The sequence below is a fragment of the Homo sapiens genome, chromosome 4 (genome assembly GCF_000001405.40).
Source record: "Homo sapiens chromosome 4, GRCh38.p14 Primary Assembly".
In the NCBI taxonomy this organism is placed as follows: Eukaryota; Metazoa; Chordata; class Mammalia; order Primates; family Hominidae; genus Homo; species Homo sapiens.
The window spans coordinates 14,335,902-14,357,145 of NC_000004.12; the positions used below are offsets into that span (position 1 = coordinate 14,335,902).

The 21,244-nt window shown below is 39.0% G+C and overlaps 1 annotated feature.

The window, feature by feature from the left end:
• Positions 272-1,471: an enhancer, noted in NCBI's record as "CDK7 strongly-dependent group 2 enhancer chr4:14337797-14338996 (GRCh37/hg19 assembly coordinates)". NCBI's record gives its function as "activates an origin of replication core promoter dependent on BRD2, BRD4, P300/CBP, MED14 and CDK7 cofactors, with strong dependence on CDK7, by STARR-seq in HCT116 cells {active_cell/tissue: HCT116}" and the evidence as "EXISTENCE:reporter gene assay evidence [ECO:0000049][PMID:35650434]".

Consider the following 21,244-nt stretch of genomic DNA (forward strand, 5'->3'; position numbering starts at 1 on the left):
CACAAAATAGGCTGTGAAGTAGTTAATTTTATTATCTCTATTTTACAAATAAGGAAACTGACATATAGGGACATTAAGTAACTTTCCCAAGCTCACACAGCTACCAAAGGCTAAAGCTTGGATTTGGAGGTGGTTCTAGTACCTTAAATTATACGCTATGTCACTTCACTTGTTGCGCTTACGACAATAGCTTTATAAATAGCTTAGCAAACAGGTTCTAACTAATAATAGCTAGCAAACTGTAGCTTCCTAACTGACATAACTCTACACTCATTGTATATGGTGGAAACTACAATCTGGGAATATTTTATGTTCTTTCTACTGGAAATATTTTGTGTTCTTTCTAGTTTATCACCTTCTGTCTGTCTACTAATTAATATTTTGTTCTTTCTCTAAAATATACCCAACATTCTCACTCAGAGAAGGTTTTCCTTTTTTATAAATCCACATTTTAAAATATATCTTTCCCAAAAATATATCAATTTCAATCTGCACCATCCAAGTGGAAGGCATGGCACTTTGAACCATTATGAGTGCTCCTGGCTGCGTACACTTAATTTCCCTCCGCCACTTTTCTCTGAGAGGACACCTAAGAGCATCGCTTCCATTTGACAGAAGAGGAAATTGGTGCTCTGTGATTCCATAAAGCAACAGAAAGACTGGAGGGAAGAGGTAAAGTTTCAGCACAAGATATTTTGTTGGTTGGTTTTGTTTTGTTGTAAGTCAACTCACCACTGAATAGAAATATACAATTTAATCTATAAATATTTGGCTTGCAAAGAGTCCTTCAGGATCACATCTTTCCAGAGCAAGAGGCGCAACTGCAGAGACATCTTCAGTGACTCCGGAAGCAAATAACCAACTTACAGACCATTGACACCTTTGCCTTGATGTCTCCCTCCCCCATTTGGCAATTTTTCTGCTCATTAGTCATTTCCTCCAGAGAATGAGTAAGATCAGAAGGAAGATCAAGCTCAAATCAGTCAATTACATCTACTTGTCAGTAACTGAAATGAAAGGATGAAGGCCTGGTGGGCAAGGATTCAGAGACAATTTGAGGGATTATCTGTGAATTTCAATTACCCTCCCACTTCTTTTCTCCATTAGCATGAATAATTAAGAATCCAGAGCCTGGAAAACCAGTGAACTTATGAAATGCTGGAGCCAGACAGCACCGTAAATATAACTTTCCAATCTCCTCTACTTATAGATGAGGAAACTTAGGGCCCAATGCAAGCATCTTGCTAATGGCAGCTCTGGTGGCTCCTTGATGTTCATCCCCTGTACCTTGCAGTTAAACGAAAAAAAAAAAATCTAGCCTCCTGTTAGTAAAAGTGCAATTTTGTCTATGATAATATTTCCAAAATAGGTAAAGTCTCAAAAGGAGCAATGTATGATGGGAAATGACCTAGGAATGAGAATGCTTAGGTCTAATTATGGCTTAATGCTGTGCGATCTTGGGTAAATATCCTAACTTCTTTGGGCTTTGGTTTTTCACCTACAAGGAAGGGATAATTGCCTCTGCACTATCTCACAGGCTTTTGGAGAGGGTCATAGAATATAAAAATAATAATATATTACTGGTAATAGCTGCTTTCTATATGCCAGATAGAGTGTTAAATGGTCAACATGCTCATCTCTTAATCCCTATGACAGCTTTATGATTCAGGTAATGTTGAGGTTTTGCAACCTAAAACCCAGAGAGGTTAAATAATGTGTTCAAGATCACATGGATAAGCACATGGGAAATATTTTGTTATCTCTAAGGTAGATGGGTGTGTGTGTGCACGCGCGTGTGTGTGCATGTGTGTGTGTGTGTATGTGTGTGTGCGAGAAAGAGAGAGAAAGAGAAAGACAGAGTGAGCTATCTTTCCATTATTGCTAAGATAAGTTGGGTTTACTACTGTGAATCCAATATTCACCTTAGATTCTGTTTGACTTGAAGTGGAGGCAGCATTTTGAGAATCTCAAAATAAAGGAAGGAATCAAGAGAGTATGGAAGATCTCTAAGGCTAATATAATGCTTTTAGACTTTAGCCTGAGGAAACAGCTAAGTGTGGAAGAATTTTGGGACGTGAGACCTAAGGCACAATTTAGGAGAGATTAATCAGCTGTCTGAATCTAAGATCCATGGCACAGGGAGGAGGGGTGGTATATGTAAATAATATAATGCTTTTGAAAGTCTTGAACAGGGTTAGGATCCCTTGAATGATTTTGTGGCTGCCTTCAAGCATTGCTCTGGGTGAGTCTTAAGAGAATGAAGAAAAGGACACTGGGAGGGAATTATTTTCTTTATCTAAAGAAGTATTTCCCATTAGTATTTTCCTAGGGGACGATTCACATACCATAGAATATCAGAACTGGGAAAGACTTTAGAAAATCAACCTCTATTATACAGTAGAATAGGGTTTTAAAATGACTCCTCTCCCCTTTACCCAGCCTCACAACCAGGACTCAGATGCCTTTCTCATAAGAATCCAGCCTTTTAACAGGATTTAAGTATTGTGCAATCTTCCACCCTTATATTCATGTATTCATGAATGCTTGTTGGGTGAATATTCATGTATTCATGATGGATGTGTATACAGACAATTGCAATCTAGTGTGTTATGGACTACAGAGTATTCTTTAAAGCAGAGGCTGGCAAGCTTCTACCTGAAAACTAAATCTGTCATGCAGCCTGTTTTTGTAAGTAAAATTTTACTGGAACACAGCAATGCTCATTTGTTTACATATTGTCTATGGTTGCTTTCAAGCTGCAATGACAGAATTGAGTAGTTGTGATGGGGTATGACCCACATAGCTCTTTACAGAGTTTACAGCTCCTGCTGTAGAAGAAAGAGTGCTTTTTGCAGAATTGAGAAGAGGGACAGTAAGGCTATCTACACAAGAGCCCTCAAACCTAGCTGCAGAGTAAAATCACCCAAGGAGCTTTTAAAAACACTGATGCTCGGACTCTATCCCTTTTTATCCCAAGATATTCTAATTCAATGGACCGGTGGTTAGAGCAGCCGTGGTGTTTTCTTAATTGCCTCTAAGGTGATACAAATTTAGGATGCCAGTATGCAACCAGAGTACAGTAAGACTGTTTTAGAAAATATAGCATTTTGACTGAGACCTAACAGAAGAATAGTATGTACCAGGCAAAGAAAAAGAGGAAGAGGACCTTCTGCATGTGCAAAGGTCTGGAGTGGAGAGAATGTACAGTCCATCTGGGGAACTTCAATTGGCTTTATAGAGGAGAAGCTGGCAGGGAAAAGGTAAAGTGGAAGAGAAGATTGGATCTAACCATGAAAGTTCTTGCCTATCCTGTTAAAAATATTCGCAAGTTATTTTAAAGGGAAATGATTGAAATGACTGAAGGGTTTTAAACAGGGAAGGAAACATAGATTTGCATTAGGATAATGTTAGCAGAGCTGTCTGGGGTATAGATTGTATGAGTTGGGGGAGGGCAGGGGACAGGCATGGTGATGCTGCAAGGAACTGGAGGCAGGAAGAAAAAAGAGAAGGCCAATCTCAGACCCCATTAAGACCCTTTACCATGCACCTGCATTGGAATCTAAGAAGTGGTATCCTGACTGCAATTGTACCTATTTGTAATGGCAATATACACCTTCTGTCGCTCAGCAACTTTCTGCATTACTCTCCTTTGTCCCTTAATATTATTTGAGCAAGTTCTACTCCCATGCTCCATAAGCTGCTTGAAAAGGACCCCATGTTATGGTCTCATTGTCCCTCATCTCTCTTGGCATGCCCAGAAGAATGCTTTTGCCTATAGGAGTTGCTGAAGAATAATCAGTTAAATTGCATACTTTTTTTGGTGGGGGAGTGAGGAAAGTGACTGGTACAAAATGAGCCAGCTCACCAGCAGCAGAACTCAGAGCAGCACCATCACCTGACTCAGGAATCAGAGACATCCCCCAACTATGCTGGGAAGCTGTCTATCTGAGCTAACGCACAGATCAGGACACAGGGATTCCAAACTAGCCTCTGCTGCCTACCTGCTGCATGACCATGACCACTACTCGCAGGTGAGAAGAGCTCCCACAAGGTCACAGAGTTCCCCTTCGACAGCGCTAGGTGCCAGCATATGTCATGAAAAGTGGTGCCCAATGAGGCTCACCTTTCCCTGGGGACAACTTAGCAATAACGCTAGATAATTTCATCTCATTCCTTTGCTTTTTCTTCTTTCTCTCCTAAATCTCATTCCCTACATTATCCCCTACTTTCGGATCTTAAGAACAATAGCCAAGCTGAGTCCCTTTTCTCATTGAGAATTTCACATCCCTTCATTCATCTGCAATGAATCCAACAGGGTGGCATTTGAACAAATGATTTTACTTATCTCTTACAAGCTCTAAATCTCCTGGCACAGGAGCCTCTGTGCAAAATGCAGAACTATTTATGTTATTTTTTTAAACAAAGGAAGTTCAATTTTCTCTTTTGTTGGGGAGGTTTTAAACCATCGTAAACTTCAACTAGTTCTATTGGTCCCCAGCAGGCTTGTTCCTCCTGCCTGTGCACATAACCACTACTTAATTTAGAGTGATTCAAAAGGCAGGGGAGACGAAAATGCAGAGTTCATGCTGTTAGAAGTGATCACTCTGCTTGGAGACATATGTAGCCACAGAAGGCTGAACAGATCAGAGTAGCTTAAAGCACTGAGAGATAAAAGGACCAGCATTGCTGATCGGGACCCCAGAGACCAGAGACGGGCCTGATGCATATATACAGCCCTGGCAGCCTTCATAGCTGCTGCCTTTGCTTTTCTTGCCTGCTTTTTTTTTGTTGTTTTTATTTTAATTTTCTTAGTAAAACTCTGATGAATTCAGGGTAAGAGAAGGAAATGGGAGCTGTGCAGATGTGTTAATTCAAACCTTACAGATGGAGTTTTCATTTCACATACATGGGGCATGAAGCTAACATATCCTATTCTTGATTTTTAAGGTAAAAAAATCATAAAAACAAAATGTCCATATGAATGCAATACGGTATGTGATTTAATAGAGAGAATTAACACACCAAGTCCACAGACTTAGGTGCAAAGACTGATTCTGGCACTTCTGTAGCTGTGGGTAGTGTGTATTCCAATGGATAATGTATCAGGGTTCTCTAGAGGGACAGAGCTAATAGGATAAATATATATATAAAGGGAGTTTATTAAGTATTAAATTACATGATCACAAGGTCCCACAATAGGCTGTCTGCAAGCTTGAGGAGCAAGGAGGGCCAGTCTGAGTCTAAAAACCAAAGAACTTGGAGTCTGATGTTTGAGGGCAGGAAGCATCCAGCACGTGAAAAAGATGTAGGCTGGGAGGCTAGGCCAGTCTCAACTTTTTCACGTTTTTTGCCTGCTTTATATTCACTGGCAGCTGATTAGATTGTGCCCACCAGATTAATGGTGGGTCTGCCTTCCCCAGCCCACTGACTCAAATGTTAATCTCCTTTGGCAACACCCTCACAGACACACCCCAAATCAACACTTTGTATTTTTCAATCCAATCAAGTTGACACTCAGCATTAACCATCACAGATAATAATCCCTAACTTGGTTAAGGGATTGATTAAATCCCAAATTAATCATTGAAAGATTAAATAGCGTCATGAAGATTAGATGCCCAGTGCAGTCATTGCTATAAGTGGATGCTCAGAAAACTTACCTCCCTTCTGTTTCTCATTTGTAGTTATATAACCTTAGGGAGGTCACTTACATATATTGAGTGTCAACTTTAAAACAGAGGTAATAGTGTACATATGATAATACATTAAAGGAATAAAATAAGGTAATAAGTGTTAATGTCAGTATAACTTATAAAGGGTTGCATAAATTTGAGGCATTTAGTTGTTACACACTCTGTTAGTCTAGATAACATGTTAACAAGCAACAGACAAGCTACTTTGCAGATTGAGTATTCATTTTATGGCACGCACTGTACTAAAAACTTTAAAAATATGTTCTCTTCAATTATTACGCCATCCTGTATAGTATATAATGTAGAGGTAGCTGACATTTATTCTGCATTTACTACCTGCTTGTCCCTGTTCTAAATGCTTTAGATGTATTACATTTTCATGTTCCTAACCACCCTAAGACGTAAGTAGAGTTATCCTCATTTTACAGATGAGGAAACTGAGGTGCAGGGAGACTAAGTCACTATCCAAGGTCATACAACTAGTAAGTGATAAAATAATATTTGAAGGCAAGCAGTCTGTTTCTAAAGCCTATAGTCTTACCCATAATATTATATGACAAAGTAATGACAGTTACAAGCATTTATTCTTTGAGCTCATAGCTGTGGTTCTCACTTAAAATTATTAACTTATGAGAATATTTCATAATATATAACAACGTTTTTGTTTATGACATTATTTCCAAAGGCAATGAATATATTACTTATTTAAATAAATTCTGTTGAGAAAAATGCTACCATTAGCACAGAGATGACTAATTTGCTACCATCAATAGGTAGCATTCTGAAATTGGGTCTGTAACCTGGGTTGGTATACTTATGCATATATTTATTAATACATATGTACTCCCATAAAGCTGGAATGCCATTTAATAATTCCTCTCTGCAGGATGCAACAATCAGAAGACATATATACCAGTCCAATATCCAGAAATAATTAAAATGTGATATTAACTCATAACTGCTGTGGGCTTGCATTCACATCTAAAGCATTTAGAGCAGGACAGAATCTCCTGAAATCTTCTTTTTAAGAATTCAGGTAGTCAGAGCACTTCTCTCTCTAACCGTGTCTTCCTACTTTCCAAGATACATTCTCCTTCAGCCCCTAGCAGTACAAATTAATCTTCTCTCTTTTTGTTTTTTTTTCCAGCCTTCTGACCAACACAGCAACAGCTGCTAAAGAAAAAGCACAGTAGAAATAAAGCAAGAGCAAGATATGGTAAAAATTTGTGAAAATGCAAGAAAAAGATTTAGTCCATGTGTATATATGCATATGCATATGTAGACACACATACATTTACATAGTGCAATTTATATAATATATATGCAAATATATACACATAAACAATTTAGAATTAGTGTCACTTATAAGAGGGTACAAGGATATACTTATATACTTATGTCATATTATTATTAATTGTATCTTATATAATTATTATACCACTATGTTATTAAACACAAATGCTTAACAATTTTAAGAAGCCATGATTTTTATGATATTTAATATTATATTGTATAATCATAGTGAACTCCCAATTTCTTGAAACTGCATTTAATTTTGCCCCTTTTCTTCATCACCTCTAAGTTCTTTATAGAGTGGAAAGCAGCTGTCAGGATCATTTCTGTGTGTTTGCTGACAGACGGAGTCCACAAAAGAAAACAAGCCTTTTCCCCAGTTTGATGGACTCCTCATTCCTCGCCAGCAGTGAATAAGGTGTCCAGGACTGTCTCAATGAGAAATCATGTGTCAGCAAAGGATTATATAAAGCCAGTGGGACATATTTTATTCTGCTTCTCACTTTTGGCTACCACTGTTCTTTTTCCTAAATCAAATTTTCTTCTGGCTTTGAAAGGTACTAATGGAGCATTATTAGTCCAGAAAGAATATTGCAATGGAGAATTGTAATTACTTTACTGCTATGGTGACATCAAACCAGATCACTTAAGAATAATGGGGCTTTAGTTCCCATAGGGAGATTGAGGTTTGGAGGATACGTAGAAATAGGAGTTCCATGACATGTAAGACAGAAAAGGAAGACAGCATTGAAACTTCTTTGGTTGGCATATTTATGTGTGAGACCACCCCCAACCTCTGCTGACATCTGTGTTTGAAGATGGAAATTAAACGTTGAACGAGGGCTTCAGCTCTTTTCTCAAGCTACTCTTCCATTGGCTTTAGGAGGTGAAAGATTTCTCAGCCAAAAATCACTCCTGTAAATCCAATGCAGTTATCCTTGTACTTATAATCATTTTTTTTCTATAAATCTTTAACAACTGACAAATACGTAGTTGGCTGGGCTTTATGCTGTAATAAAACACAGGCAAAGGAAGCAAGGTTGGCAAAGGGTTGTCTGATGTCCAAAACATGATTATTTGTACAACATAATACGAGTTAAACTATATTTGGAATTCTTAGGACTTTCTTAATTTGACCTATCAAACAGCTGAAGAGCAGTGTGTGGCTTTTAGGGTACGACAGAAAGTGTGCTTTGGTGTATATTCAGAAATCTTTTCTCTGTGTGAATTCCCAGATGAAAAGAGTGCTCAAGCCAATCTCTTTGCTGATACTCGGTGGGGAGCAAGATAAAAACTTCAGATATACCATCCAGATCCTAGAGAAAAAGACAGTCAGAGGAGAAGACAGAGAGGGAGAGAAACAGAAACAGGGACAGAGAAGAGAGAGAGAGAGACAAAGAGAGCGAGAGAGAGAGAGAACAAACACACAGGAAATGGCTTTGGAGGGAGAGAGATGTAGTTTCTATTCAAAACACTACCTCTTTCTCAAGGTTTGATTTTGGTGGTAGGCTGGACACTTGGCACCATGAGCTGGAGTTCCACAGAATCACCACACTTGGAATGGCTGGTGATTTATTTGCTGTGTGATCTTGGCCAAGTTACAAAACATCTCTGAGGTACCATTTTTTTAATCCATGAATCTCAGATACTTTATATGATGATTAAAAGGCTAACATTGAAAATAGCATCTGGCACATGGTAATAAAAAGCAGTATCTGGCATAGGCACTCAACTGTTTGTGCCGAATGAGTATTATTAAACCCTTTGACCTCTTTTAAACCTTTCACATCCACACACATGAAAGTTTGTGGGGTCAGAACTCAACTCTACGTCCATTTGGCTCCAAAGTTTAAGCTCTCACCATCTACAGATGCTGGGTGTGTGTCCCAGACCCACAATCTTCACCATGTGACCTTTGCAAATATCTGCGCCTTGTTGAATCAATTTAATTATCTCTAAATTCAGATACTAAGAGGACGATGTTTATCTTCCTTTTAAAGTGTTGATGAATCTGTCAAATTTCATCTTCTCCATTTTCCTAAGCCTGCATGTTAACCATTTTCTTTCTGATAGTAGACTTTATCTTAAAACAACAAAAAACGAATAATAAAATATTTTAAACATACAGAAAAGAAAAGGAAAATGCATTGTTCTCAACTCCCAGATTTAACATTTTAACTCATGCAACAAATATGGATTGGGGACAAGACATTCGCCATTCTGAGGACTGAGGACATGTCTGTCTGGGAACCAGATGCCCCTTCCCTTGTGGAGTTTATATTTGACTGACAAATATCAATGTGGCCATATTTGCTTTAGGTAGTCTTTTAAAAATGATATATTACTGACAGAGCTGGAGGCACCCCACAAGCCCGTGTTCTTCCTGCTAAACTTCCCGAGGTGGGTGTCTCTCCTCAACTGATTTATTTCCAGGGATGGTGTGGAGCCCAGTCCTCCCCCACCTGTCCAGGGAGGGACCTATAATCCCCATGTGTCAAGGGAAGGAGGTGACTGGATCATGGGGGTGGTTTCCCCCATGCTGTTCTCATGATACTGAGTTCTCATGAGATCTGATGGTTGTATAAGTGTTTGACAGTTCCTCCTTCACAGGCTGTCTCTTCTGCCACTCTGGGAAGAAGGTGCCAGCTTCCTCTTCCTCTATGATTGCAAGTTTCCTGAGGCCTCCCCAGCCATGCAGAACTATGAGTCAATTAAACATCTTTCCTTTATAAATTACCCAGCCTCGGGTATTTATTTATAGCAGTACCAAACTAACACACTGAGAACAGCCTAATATGCTGGACATGAGTCACTTCTGTTTTGTGCTGAAGTCAGCTGAGAAATTGTGACTAATTATAGCAATAGCTACAATGCTGTATTCTCCTTTTCTTTCCAGTTAGAATAAAAACAGAGTAAATAGATTAATAGCCCACCTAACTCCCATCTATCCTTATACGATCATGAAGATTTTCCATTTCCTTGACCTGCTTTATTTGTTTCTGAGTACATTTCGTTGCCATTTCATTATATTCTAATTATTTAGTGTCGGTCTCCCCACTGGAGAGTGGGCTTCATAAGAGTAGTTTTCTGCCTCTTTTTGCTTTCTATGGTATTCTCTACACCTAAAATAATTTCTTGCATGGTGGAGATGTTTAGTTTGTTTAACTATTATATGTATAATAGGTGGTATAAATATATTATACATTTAGTTCATCCAGTTACCCTTCCAATTAGCCACAGTTTACAGATGAGGAAATTGAGGGTCAGAAAGAATAACTGGCATGCCAGTGTTGCAGCTATACTAGATGATGAAGTCCCCAGTATTTCTGCCTTCCTACCCTCCTCTCTATTTGTACAGGTGTTTATTTTCTCCTTTGTCTCTAAATCTCTCTATCGTTAGCCGTCCCATCTTCCTACACCATTAGGGCTATGCCATGACTTACTCTATCCTGACTCCCTTTGCACATGGGCTGGAGTCCTACCCCCAGACCTACTTCAGTGACTGTGACTGTGCTGCCTGGTGACATGCTGCCTCTCTCTGTTACAGTCTGTCCACGCGGGTTCCACCTCCTTGCACCCTCCTGTCTCATGTTATCTCCTTTCAGTCCCACCTGATATCATCCACTTATCTATCCAGAATGATTTTGTGCACTCATAGCAAAGTTCAAGACTCCTGATTCCTTTTAATACAGATCTGACACTGCTGAGCTATTCAAAATAATGGCTAAGGAGGGAAGTCATAAAACATGGTATACAAACGCATGCGTGTTGTGCAGTTAGCATTTTAGTTACACATTTGTCTGTCAATCATTTAGAGGGTAAAGTTTATTCCTTTGAGCATAGATATTGTGGATGACATTCTGTTAATTTTATCTTGAATAAAATCACACAATGTATCATTTTTAATTTTTAACTTGTATTACTTTCAAGTGGAGTAATATCTTTTACATGATTGCAAATGAATCTGAAGGTGGATCATCGTTATTCTCATGATTATCTTCCAAACTTTAAGTTAATGTGCTCTTACCACATTCAACAGGGATGTTTTTAGTCATCTTTAACAACAGTTTCAACGGAATTTTCAAACACATAACACTTTCTTTTTGCATTCTTATACCACTACTTGAGATAATATTTTATTAAATTATGTAACAACACAAGAAGTGCAATTGTCATAACAGTTTAGAAAACAAACACATATAACTTTTAAGAAGCAGACTTTGTAGCAAAAATAATATGGTGCATGAGTCAACTGACTAAATTCTCTGAGCACTTATTGTGCCACGGATATTAATAATACTTTTTAAAAAGATATCAGAACCTTAAAAGTTTCTACTCTACTGAGTTGTGCCTGACTAACTGTATCTCCTTCCAAGCCCTGTTGGTAGGTCTTCTCCCCACTGTTGCGTGTGCGTGCTCCTCTGTTAAAATGTCTACTGTCAGGGTCCACTTCCCTGGGGAGCCCTAACTCCTCGCAGATAAACCAAGATATCACATCCCCACAGTCCTGCTGGACTCTGACATTCCAGGAAGCTCATAGCAGTTTTTTTCTCTTTTTTAAAAAATCCCATTTGAAATGTACAAAGGGTGTTGCACATTGACTCCAATCATAGTTAAGGATGCTGAACCTGGAGGAAAGAAAGCACATTTAATTCAGATAAAAGCATAGCTCATTTTCCCAACCCCACCAAATCAGGCAATTATAGCACGGGGCCAGAATTTTCTCCCACATTTCGCACGTAAAACATAATTCCGCCACCAGCTGCTCACCAGCATTTTGTTGTCTCCTCAACCGACAACAAAATGACAAAACAGATCAGCAGAGGGTGATCTGCCAGCATCACCAATGAGATGCAACTCCCCTCCAACCAGCCTGTCATTAGGAAACCGTTTTCTGTTTCTAAAATAAACCCTCTGAAATCACTGCCTTCCTACATCTGTGCTTCTACCTAGAAGAGAGAGATGTTCTCCTAACTCACAACAGGTGCTGAGATATGTCAGTGGAGAAAGAGGACGAACTATGCATAAGTAATGAGAAGCAGAGGGGCAGTTACTCAGGGTCTGAGACAGAGTCTTTTTGCTCATGATGTGTACAGCATTAAGGAAATTTAGAAATTTGGCATTAAGTGTGTGTAAAAATAGGATCCCTGGAAACCTATGTTTTGTCACATCAGCTCCTTACATTTTCCTTTTATGTTACTCATTTTCCTTCTGATCTTACTATACTCTCTATCCACATCACCCATCTTTCCCCAACTCCTCTCCACAAATACTCATTAAGAACCTATTAAGTAAAAATGTACTAAATGCTTTAAATGCAGGAAAAGAGGGCTAGGAAGAATATTTCAAACCCAAATTGGCAATAGCTGCTTCTGCCCTGCAGGCAGGTGGCATCATAGTAGGAACATAAACTTTAGCTCCCCATTCCTTGGTAGACAGAGGGGCAGAGAGAAGGGAAGAAAATGTGAAAAGTCAGACAGTTCTACTTTGTCTCTAAGGAGAAAGCATATGCCAAGAGGAGCACTGCATACCAGAGTACATTAAGGAATCTTCACATAAGCAAAAATGGAATGGAGAGCTATGTTGGTTTATTTAAAAATAAAAATTAAAAACAAAAAACAAAAAACACCACAGCCACCACCAACAAAACCCCAAATCCCAAAACAAAACTGAGAGGAATTAAGCTTTCAGGAAGCAGTAGGTGCTAGAAGGGTCAGCGCCTGACAGTGGGAGGCCTAGAGATTTCAGCAGACAGAAGGCAAAAATCCAAGGTTCTGTGTAATTCTCCTGGTGCTGTTACAAAAGTTCAGTAAAATTGGTGACATGCCCACAAGTCTTGATGAGTAACAATTTGGAGGTAGGATCCAAAGGAAAGGAATTGAAGATTAAACATGGGGGAATGTGTCAACATCAAGAGATGATAAGATCATGGGTTGACAGAACTCATTCAATGGGGCTCCAGGAACAAAGGTAACCAGTGAGCACTTACATCCCTACCCTCAATGCATCCGGCAAAAGTTTCAGAATGGCTGAATTGTGTACAGGTAGTTGTTTCATTGTGCATGCAATAGAGTTCAAGCAGATTTCCTTGGAATATTAAAGATTGGACACTCCAGCTGATATCAAAGCATATTCATGAATCCCCCAGCAGCTGTTAGCATTCCCATTTGACAGGTGATGAAGCTGAGACATAAGAGAAGTTATATTATTTGTTCAAGGTTACATAATTAAAAGCAAAGCTATAAAGAAGCCAGTTATTGTTTTTATACCATGCTAAGGTATTTTAGGGACACGTAAATATCAAACATTTTGTAGGTTCTTTAATTTATGTGATCCTTATTACACCATAGGACTAGTTTCATTTTACTGATGAGGAAAAAAATGTGTTCTGTGTAATTAAGCAGTTTTTGCTAGATGCCATATTTTGGCCATGATTTTAATCCATTTTTTTCTCACTGCTAAACTGTGCGTGAGATCAGGACTTTCCTTGAGATCAGGACGCTACTGTTCTATTCTGGTCATTTGGGGCCCATGTTTCAGGGAGAGAAGCCTTTTTAAGGGAGGTTATACAGTTTTTGAAAAAAAGAGGGTAGGAAAAATGAACTCTAGTCTCAGAGAGAGAGGAATGAAATATCAGGAGTCCAAGTTGTCACAAACAACTTGTTCTAAACAAGTCAGGAACATTAGAAAGAAATGCATGACGAAAAGTACTTTGAAGTTTTCTGAGCTTCCATTACTCTCATAAAACTATAAAGTCTGTGTGCTTACTTACATAACTAAAAATATTTATAAGAAAGTGAAAATGGTCCACGTTCTTGTTTTAAGGAGCAATGAGAATTTTTGGATCTTTACAACCTTATTTTATCAATCCACAAGGCTCAGGGGGAAATAAACCACATGGATGAAATGGGTGGTGACAACCTCAAAGAGCCAATAAGAATAAGGTACACCTTGGAAATTATATCATAGGAAAAAGGTAGATATAGTCCTGAGATAGTGGCCCTGAGGCTTAAGGAAGGAGAATATGTGGTTTCCTGATATGATTATCTATTCTCTTCTCCCAGCTTTTCTGTAAGTCAATATGGATAACCAAATGTATAAGAATATATTATCATTATAAGTGATATGGGAGTTCCTCTAGAAGGTAGCTATGCTCACCACTATACCAATGTCATATGAGGTACGTCCTCTTGAAAGGGAATATTTCTATTTAGAAAATGAGTTGATGGTCAACCATCTACATGTGAATATACATACTCAAGTGTGGAATCTGGAAAGAGACTCCAGAGAACAAAGGAGAGCAAAATTGTTATGCATAAGAAAATGAAAAAGATTTGAAATATTGTTGGATTCCCAGAGTAAAGAGTTGCAGAAAGAGCCAGAAAGACTTCTAGGGATGGGTTGCAGTATTGAGAGGCACACCTCAGCTATGGCAATTCATTGATGGTGGAGATCCAGAAAGAACATTTAAGAAGAATCAGCCCTAAAACCCAACATCCACTGTGAAGCTGGCTTATGAATATCTCTCTCTGGACAAATTTTCAGTAAAGCTAGCTACACACTCAAAGGCCTTCTGAGAGTCACTTTAGTTGCTTTTGTTGGTACTAAAACCCAGAAGCACACTTGCATTCTCTGTTTGGAAAGATTAATATAGGAAAAGCACACGCAAGATGATGAGGAAACACACTAGTAAAAGCCTTCAGGAAGAGCATAAATCCGAAGGCATATATGAACTTGAGAAGTTTAGCACTCTAAGAATTAACAAGTGTCTTGTTGGTAGGGAGGGGCATTGGACTCTGCATAAGTCCTATAATGAAGTTTGAGACCAATAATTTTTTAAATCCTAAGAGGTCAGGTCACTGATGCTAGGATCGTATATATTTGAAACATGCTTATTAAAACAAAGCAAAAGCTTGGGTTAAATGAACAAAACATTGTATTATTAAAATAAATTACAGCATATTTATAAGAAAAGTTCCATTAAAAATACAGGAGAGGCCTTATCATGGTCTTCTCCAAGTCTTAGTTAGATCAGGCGTTTATAACAGAATGCCATAGCCTAGGTGGTTTAAGACATTTATTTCTCACAGTTCTGGAAGCTGGAAGTCCAAAATTAGAGTGCCAGCATGATCGGGTTCATGGTGGAGACTTTCTCCCTGATCAGGTCCTCATACAGCTTCTCCTTAGTTTCTACACGAAGAGAGAAAGAAAGATATGTTGCCTCCTTCTTTTTTTATAAGGACACCGATCCCATCATGGTGGTCTCACCTCCATTACATTACCTAAATTTAATTACCTTTTAGAAGCCCCATCTCCAAATGCCATTACATTAGATATTAAGGTGTGAACCCCAAGTATCTGAGATATGTCTCAGATGTAGGAGGTTTACTTTGCCAAGGTTAAGGAAACATTCATGACACAGCCTCAGGAGGTCCTGAGGACATGTGTCCAAGGTGGTTGGGATATAGATTGCTTTTATACATTTTAGGGAGCCATGAGGCATCAATTAATATGTGTAAGATGAACATTGGTGCAGTCCAGTAAGGCAGGAAAATTCAAAGTGGGGGTTTCCAGGTTAGAAACAGATAAGAGAAAAATGGTTGCATTCTTTTGAGTCCTTGATAAGTCTTCCACGGAATACACAGTTTAGTCTGGCTCAGTGATTCTGCATTTTTGCATAAACAATATGGCAGAGGAAGCAATCAGATATACACTTACCTTAGGTGAGTTCTGTCTATCCGTGGTCCACAAGGAATTTTCTTGTGGGCAAACTGTAGGGAGGTATGTAGCTTCTTACCTTTTTAGCTATCTTATTTGGAATAAAATGAAACGCAGGTTTGCCCCAAGCAGTTCCCAACTTGACTTTCCCATTGACTTAGTGATTTGGGTATCCCAATATTTATTTTCCTTTCGCAAAGGTTTTGACATATAAATTTTGGGTGGACACAAACATTTAGTCCATAGCATTGCCTTGGCTTATGGCCCACCAGGAGCAATGACCAGTCCTGTCGGTGGATCATGCCCAGTCCTGATTTGACTGTTCCGGGTATGCTGTTTGCCTCACTGTACCAAGACATCGGCATATTCAGCAAGAGCAAGCTTCCAGCATCATCTTTGAGCATTTGGGCCAAGTGGGGAGGGCCTTGAACTAAATAAACATGTGTATGTTGAGCTAGAACAGAGTTTACAGAGCCCCAAATATATAGTTATAAAAGTATATTTGTGAACTTATTAAAAATAATTATTTTATGTAGACAGCCTTGAAAGAATTTTGCTTTCTTCCTTTTTTTGGTTACTCTGTATTATTTAGTCTTCCTAATAATTATTTACTACTGCATTTTTAAAAGTATAAGCATGTTATTTTTAGTGTAGTAATTATATAGTTGCAATGTATTATTGAAGGATCACTGAACTTTGGAGGAGACCAGGAACATCACGGGGGTGGTCTAGTGACGTCAGTGTAGGCGTCCCTGTGGCCTGCCTGTCACCATTGGCATCTGTCAAACAGAGCCAAGTATACAAACACTTCTAAAACACTGTTATTCTCGAGACAAATAAATCTGCTGCCAGAAAATCACAGTTGCACTTCCATTTCTGCAAAGAGAAAAGAAATTTTATGCTGAAATATTCAGCCTAGGCATACCAAAGGAAGCCCAGTAAATGAATTATGTGCTATTCCCCATGATACAATGTAACATGAATCCTAAGAAATTTACAGGCTTCAGCAATACTAATGAGTTACATGGTCACTACAACTTACAGAAATAAATAGTTTCATTTCAATGTCTACATTGCCACGCTGTCTTCATCATATAGCTGGCCACTTTAGCTACACCTTTGACAGTCAATACATTTCTAAAGATTATATGGGTTTCCAACATTTGTTTTGAAAACAACTTCAGCATTTCTTCTTTTTTTTTTTTTGTTTTTTTCTTTCCTATTTAGGTAGAGTCAAAGGTGTTATTCCTTCTGCAGGAAATGGAGACCAAAATGAAAGTAAATAACTGAGGGCTCATCAGCCCATTCACTCATCCATCTGTCCACTGAGGGATATTTCTGAATACAAATACTACCTCTTTCATTTACTTCTGATAAGACTTACTGCACTTTAAGTAGACCCTCTAAAACTGTCTTATTTATCCGTACAATATGGGAGTTTTTACTCCTATATCTCAGAATATTGGAAAGATTAAATGAAGTTATGTATACTGAGTGCCTCTAATAATTCCTTTTTCTCCAGTTGGGGGACAGAGTATAAAAACTGTGATTCTGATGCCAAAATACTGAAATTTTAGAGTACTTCCTTTGACTATTTCTGTGACATACAGGACATGTATAGGGAATTGTGACTGTCCAGCAGGCATGTACAGAGTGCACTGTCCCTAAACTTCAAGAAAGTCTGTAGCACAATATCTCTATAGTTTGTTTGGTTGTATTGAGAATATTCTTTCTTTTTTTGAGATGGAGTTTCGCTCGTGTTGCCCAGGCTGGAGTGCAACGATGCAATCTCAGCTCAGTGCAACATCCGCCTCCCAGGTTTGAGCGATTCTTCTGCTTCGGCCTCCCAAATAGCTGGTATTACAGGTGTGTGCCATCATTCCAGGCTAATTTTTTTGTATTTATTATAAACAGGGTTTCACCATGTTAATCAGGCTGGTCTCGAACTCCTGACCTCAGGTGGTCCACCCGCCTTGGCTTCCCAAAGTGCTGGGATTACAGCCGTGAGCCACTGCACCTGGCCGAGAATATTCTCTGTATATGTATTCTTCCGCATTTAAGAAGTTACACTAAGTCATTTTAACTCTTTGCAGCCTTCCCCTCTCACAGAGAGGTGAGCCAGGTTTCTTCCCAATCACTAGAACTAATACTTCATTGAATCTTGACAAGGTATTCTGCTGCACTTAGCGACCCACAAAGCATAGTTACACCTGGGATTTCATCACACTACACACATTCCAATATTTATCAGATTATATGAGATTTTAAAAAAACTGTTTCCATCTTTAAAGGGCTCTAAGGAGACAGCTGAGTTCCCTGTTCCAAAGCAAGCTAAAGCCCTCTAGCTGTGTTAATACCTTGTGGCCCCCTCTTTCCACCACCTGGGTTCTGCTATTTTTACTTTGGTTGGTTGAATGATTCCCAAGTAACCTGCCAAGGTAAATAAGTACCAACTCTACTCATGAATATTTAAGCCCAAGTGGATATACTGGGTAGCTTTGTGGCTAGCATTGGATTTCCATATAAACCATAAGGAAGCTGTTGTGACTATGGTTGAGCCGAGCCTTGAACTCTTCAACAGTGCAGTGATCCCTAGCCAAGCTGCAGAGTCTGGAGACTGCATTCTGTGTGCCAGGGTCCACCTGTGGTATAAATTGCATGGATCCTTTGTCACTTCCCTGTTCTGAGACTGCTGGGCTCAGACACTGCCCCATTGTCTCTGCAGCGTCTCTGCCTCCACAACAATAAGAGAGAAGAAACTCCTGGGCCATTTCTCACCCCTACCTGCCACCACCTTTGTTAACAAAAACCAACATGTCTGTTAAGGTTATAAATGGTTTTATATTTGCACCAGAAAATTATTTTCTTTGCTATTATTCTTTTCTGTTGAATGTTTTCTTAGACGTTTTCCAGCGTTCAATGCAGTGGTAGACAAAGAAGTAGGACATGTATTCAACATCCATTTCACCATTTCTGCATTTTTCTTCTAAAATGTTATGGTTTTTTCTTTCTATTTATATTTTGTGATGGATGTTTGTTGTTAGCCATCTTGACAGTAGTTGTGATGGTTAATTTTTTTACATGTCGACTTGCCTGGACCATAATACCCAGGTATTTGTTAAGAAAGAACTCTGGATTTGAGGGGTCTTTTTTTTGGATGATTTTCTGGGAGGGTATTTTTGAATGAGATTAATATTTAAATTGGGGGAGTTTAAGTATAGCAGATTACCCTCCATAATGTGGGTGGGTGTTATCCAATTACTTGAAGTCCTAAATAGGACAAAAATACTGACTTCCCCTGAGCAAGAAGAAATTCTCCTAGCAAACATTCTTCCGACTTGAACTGCAACCTCAGTTCTTCCTGAGTCTCCAGACTACCAGCCCACTTTGCAGATTTTGGACTTGTCAGCTTCCATAATTCTGTCAGTCAATTCTTAATATGAATATCTTACTTTCTATATATACATCTTCTTGGTTCTCTTTCTCTGGAAAACCCTGACTGTTATGGTGTGTTGGTCCAGTTGAAGGCAGAATGTTACATATTTGTAGATTTCTAGGATCAGTATGCTGCAATGGTAATGCATTTGGACAGTTCCATAGTCTTGAAAACATGTCGGGTACAAAGAAACACACTTTGGAACCAGAGAGGTAGGTTTGGAACTTGTCCTGCCACTTAGCCACTTGTGCTGTAAGTTGTGACCTTAAGCTGTCTAGTCTTTCCAGGGCTCAGTCCCCACATTTATAAAATGGGGATGATACGTGTGTTAGGCTGTTTTTGGATCACTATAAAGAAACGCCTGAGGCGTGGTAATTTATAAAGAAAAGAGGTTTAATTAGCTCACAGTTCTGCAGTCTGTGCTGCCAGCATCTGCTTCTGGTGAGGGCCTCAGGAAGCTTCCAATCACTGTGGAAAATGTGGGGGAACCAGTACATCACATGATGAGAGTGGGGACAAGAGAGAGCGAAGGGGGAGGTGCCACACTCTGTTAAACAACCAGATCTCACAGGAACTCGGAAACAAGAACTCTCATCAACAAGGAGATGGTGCTAAGCCATTCATGAGGGAGTCGCCCCTCTGATTGCAACATCTCCTATCAGATCCCACCTCCAACACTGAAAACAAAATTTCAACATGAGACCTGAAGGGGACAAATATCCAAACCATGTCAATAACTGTTCTCACCACTTAGGTTGTGATGAAAATGAAATGAGTCAATAAATACTACACCCTGTAACAGCACCTAGCACCTAGTAAGCTCTCAGTAAATGCAACCTATGTACAAAGAGATTGTTGCATGAAACAGAAAGATCTCTCATCTACTGGATGCTTGCTGGATGTCTGGCACTCTGCTAAGTGCTAATGTATATTTATTCATGTTATCTTCATAGCCATTTTTTATTTTAATGTTGTCACTGAAAGAGATGAAGTAATCTGCCCTCAATGGTGCAATTAATAAGGGATAGAGCCCAATGCTAAAGCATTTCCATCTTCCTCTGAATACCATATACTTTTATGACACAGTGCCTGAGCTACATGTGCAAAATACTTAGCCGACACATAGCATACAGCAGGTACTCAATAAATGTAAGCATTGGTATAATAATTAGTGGCCTAGGTTTTTTTTTTTCATTTCTCCTGAGAAAAACTGTCAGTAAATTATGATAAACTATTTGCTTTCCTAAGAACAAATAACATGTGGTTTGACCAAGGTTTATTGCTATTATTATTAATGTTGATAAACATGTTTTATATCAGAAAAATTTTACCAAGTTATAAAAATTAAAATACATTATTATTTTTAGGGGACAAGAACAAAAGAAAAATATAGAATCCAGCAAAAATAAATCAGTTTAATATGGTTTGTGCAATTGGTATTATAATCATAAAAATTTGAAATACAATGACACAAAATAAAAGATGGCTTTGTTCACTGTAAATCAGAAAACATTTATTATCTTCAACTCTGTAAGGACCCTGGCCTGAGTAGAATAAGGGAGACAGGTGAACTAAAACAAAGTTGTTCACCTTGAAAACTGTTTGTAAACTAACTGAACCTTTGCCAGGGAGAAGATCACTGATTTCATTGGTTCAGTAAATTGTTGCCTGTGGTAACCAGGAATGATGCTCCTGTGGCAGTTTTAAGCCTGCTGTTGATCCTCTTCCTATTGAGGAAAAGGTCTATGTGTTCGTTCCTGTTATCTGGGGCAAGTTTAGTGACTAACACGCCATCAACAGAAAGCGGTAGAAATGGTACTGTGCGACTTCCAAGACTAGGTCATAAAAGTAATGCAGCTTCTGCTTGGTTCACTGAAACACTTGCTTTTGGGGCCCAAAGCCACCATGTAAGGAGTCTCACAACTCCGAAACTGCCATGCTGTGAAGAAACCCAGGCCACATGGAAAGGCTGAACATACGTGTTCCTGTCTTCAACCCCACCGAGGTCTCAGCTAACCCCAGACCTGTGCTATGTAAAAAACTCCTCCAGGTGATTCCAACCCCAGCCACCAGTCGTGCCGGCTATTCCCTGCCCATATTCCTG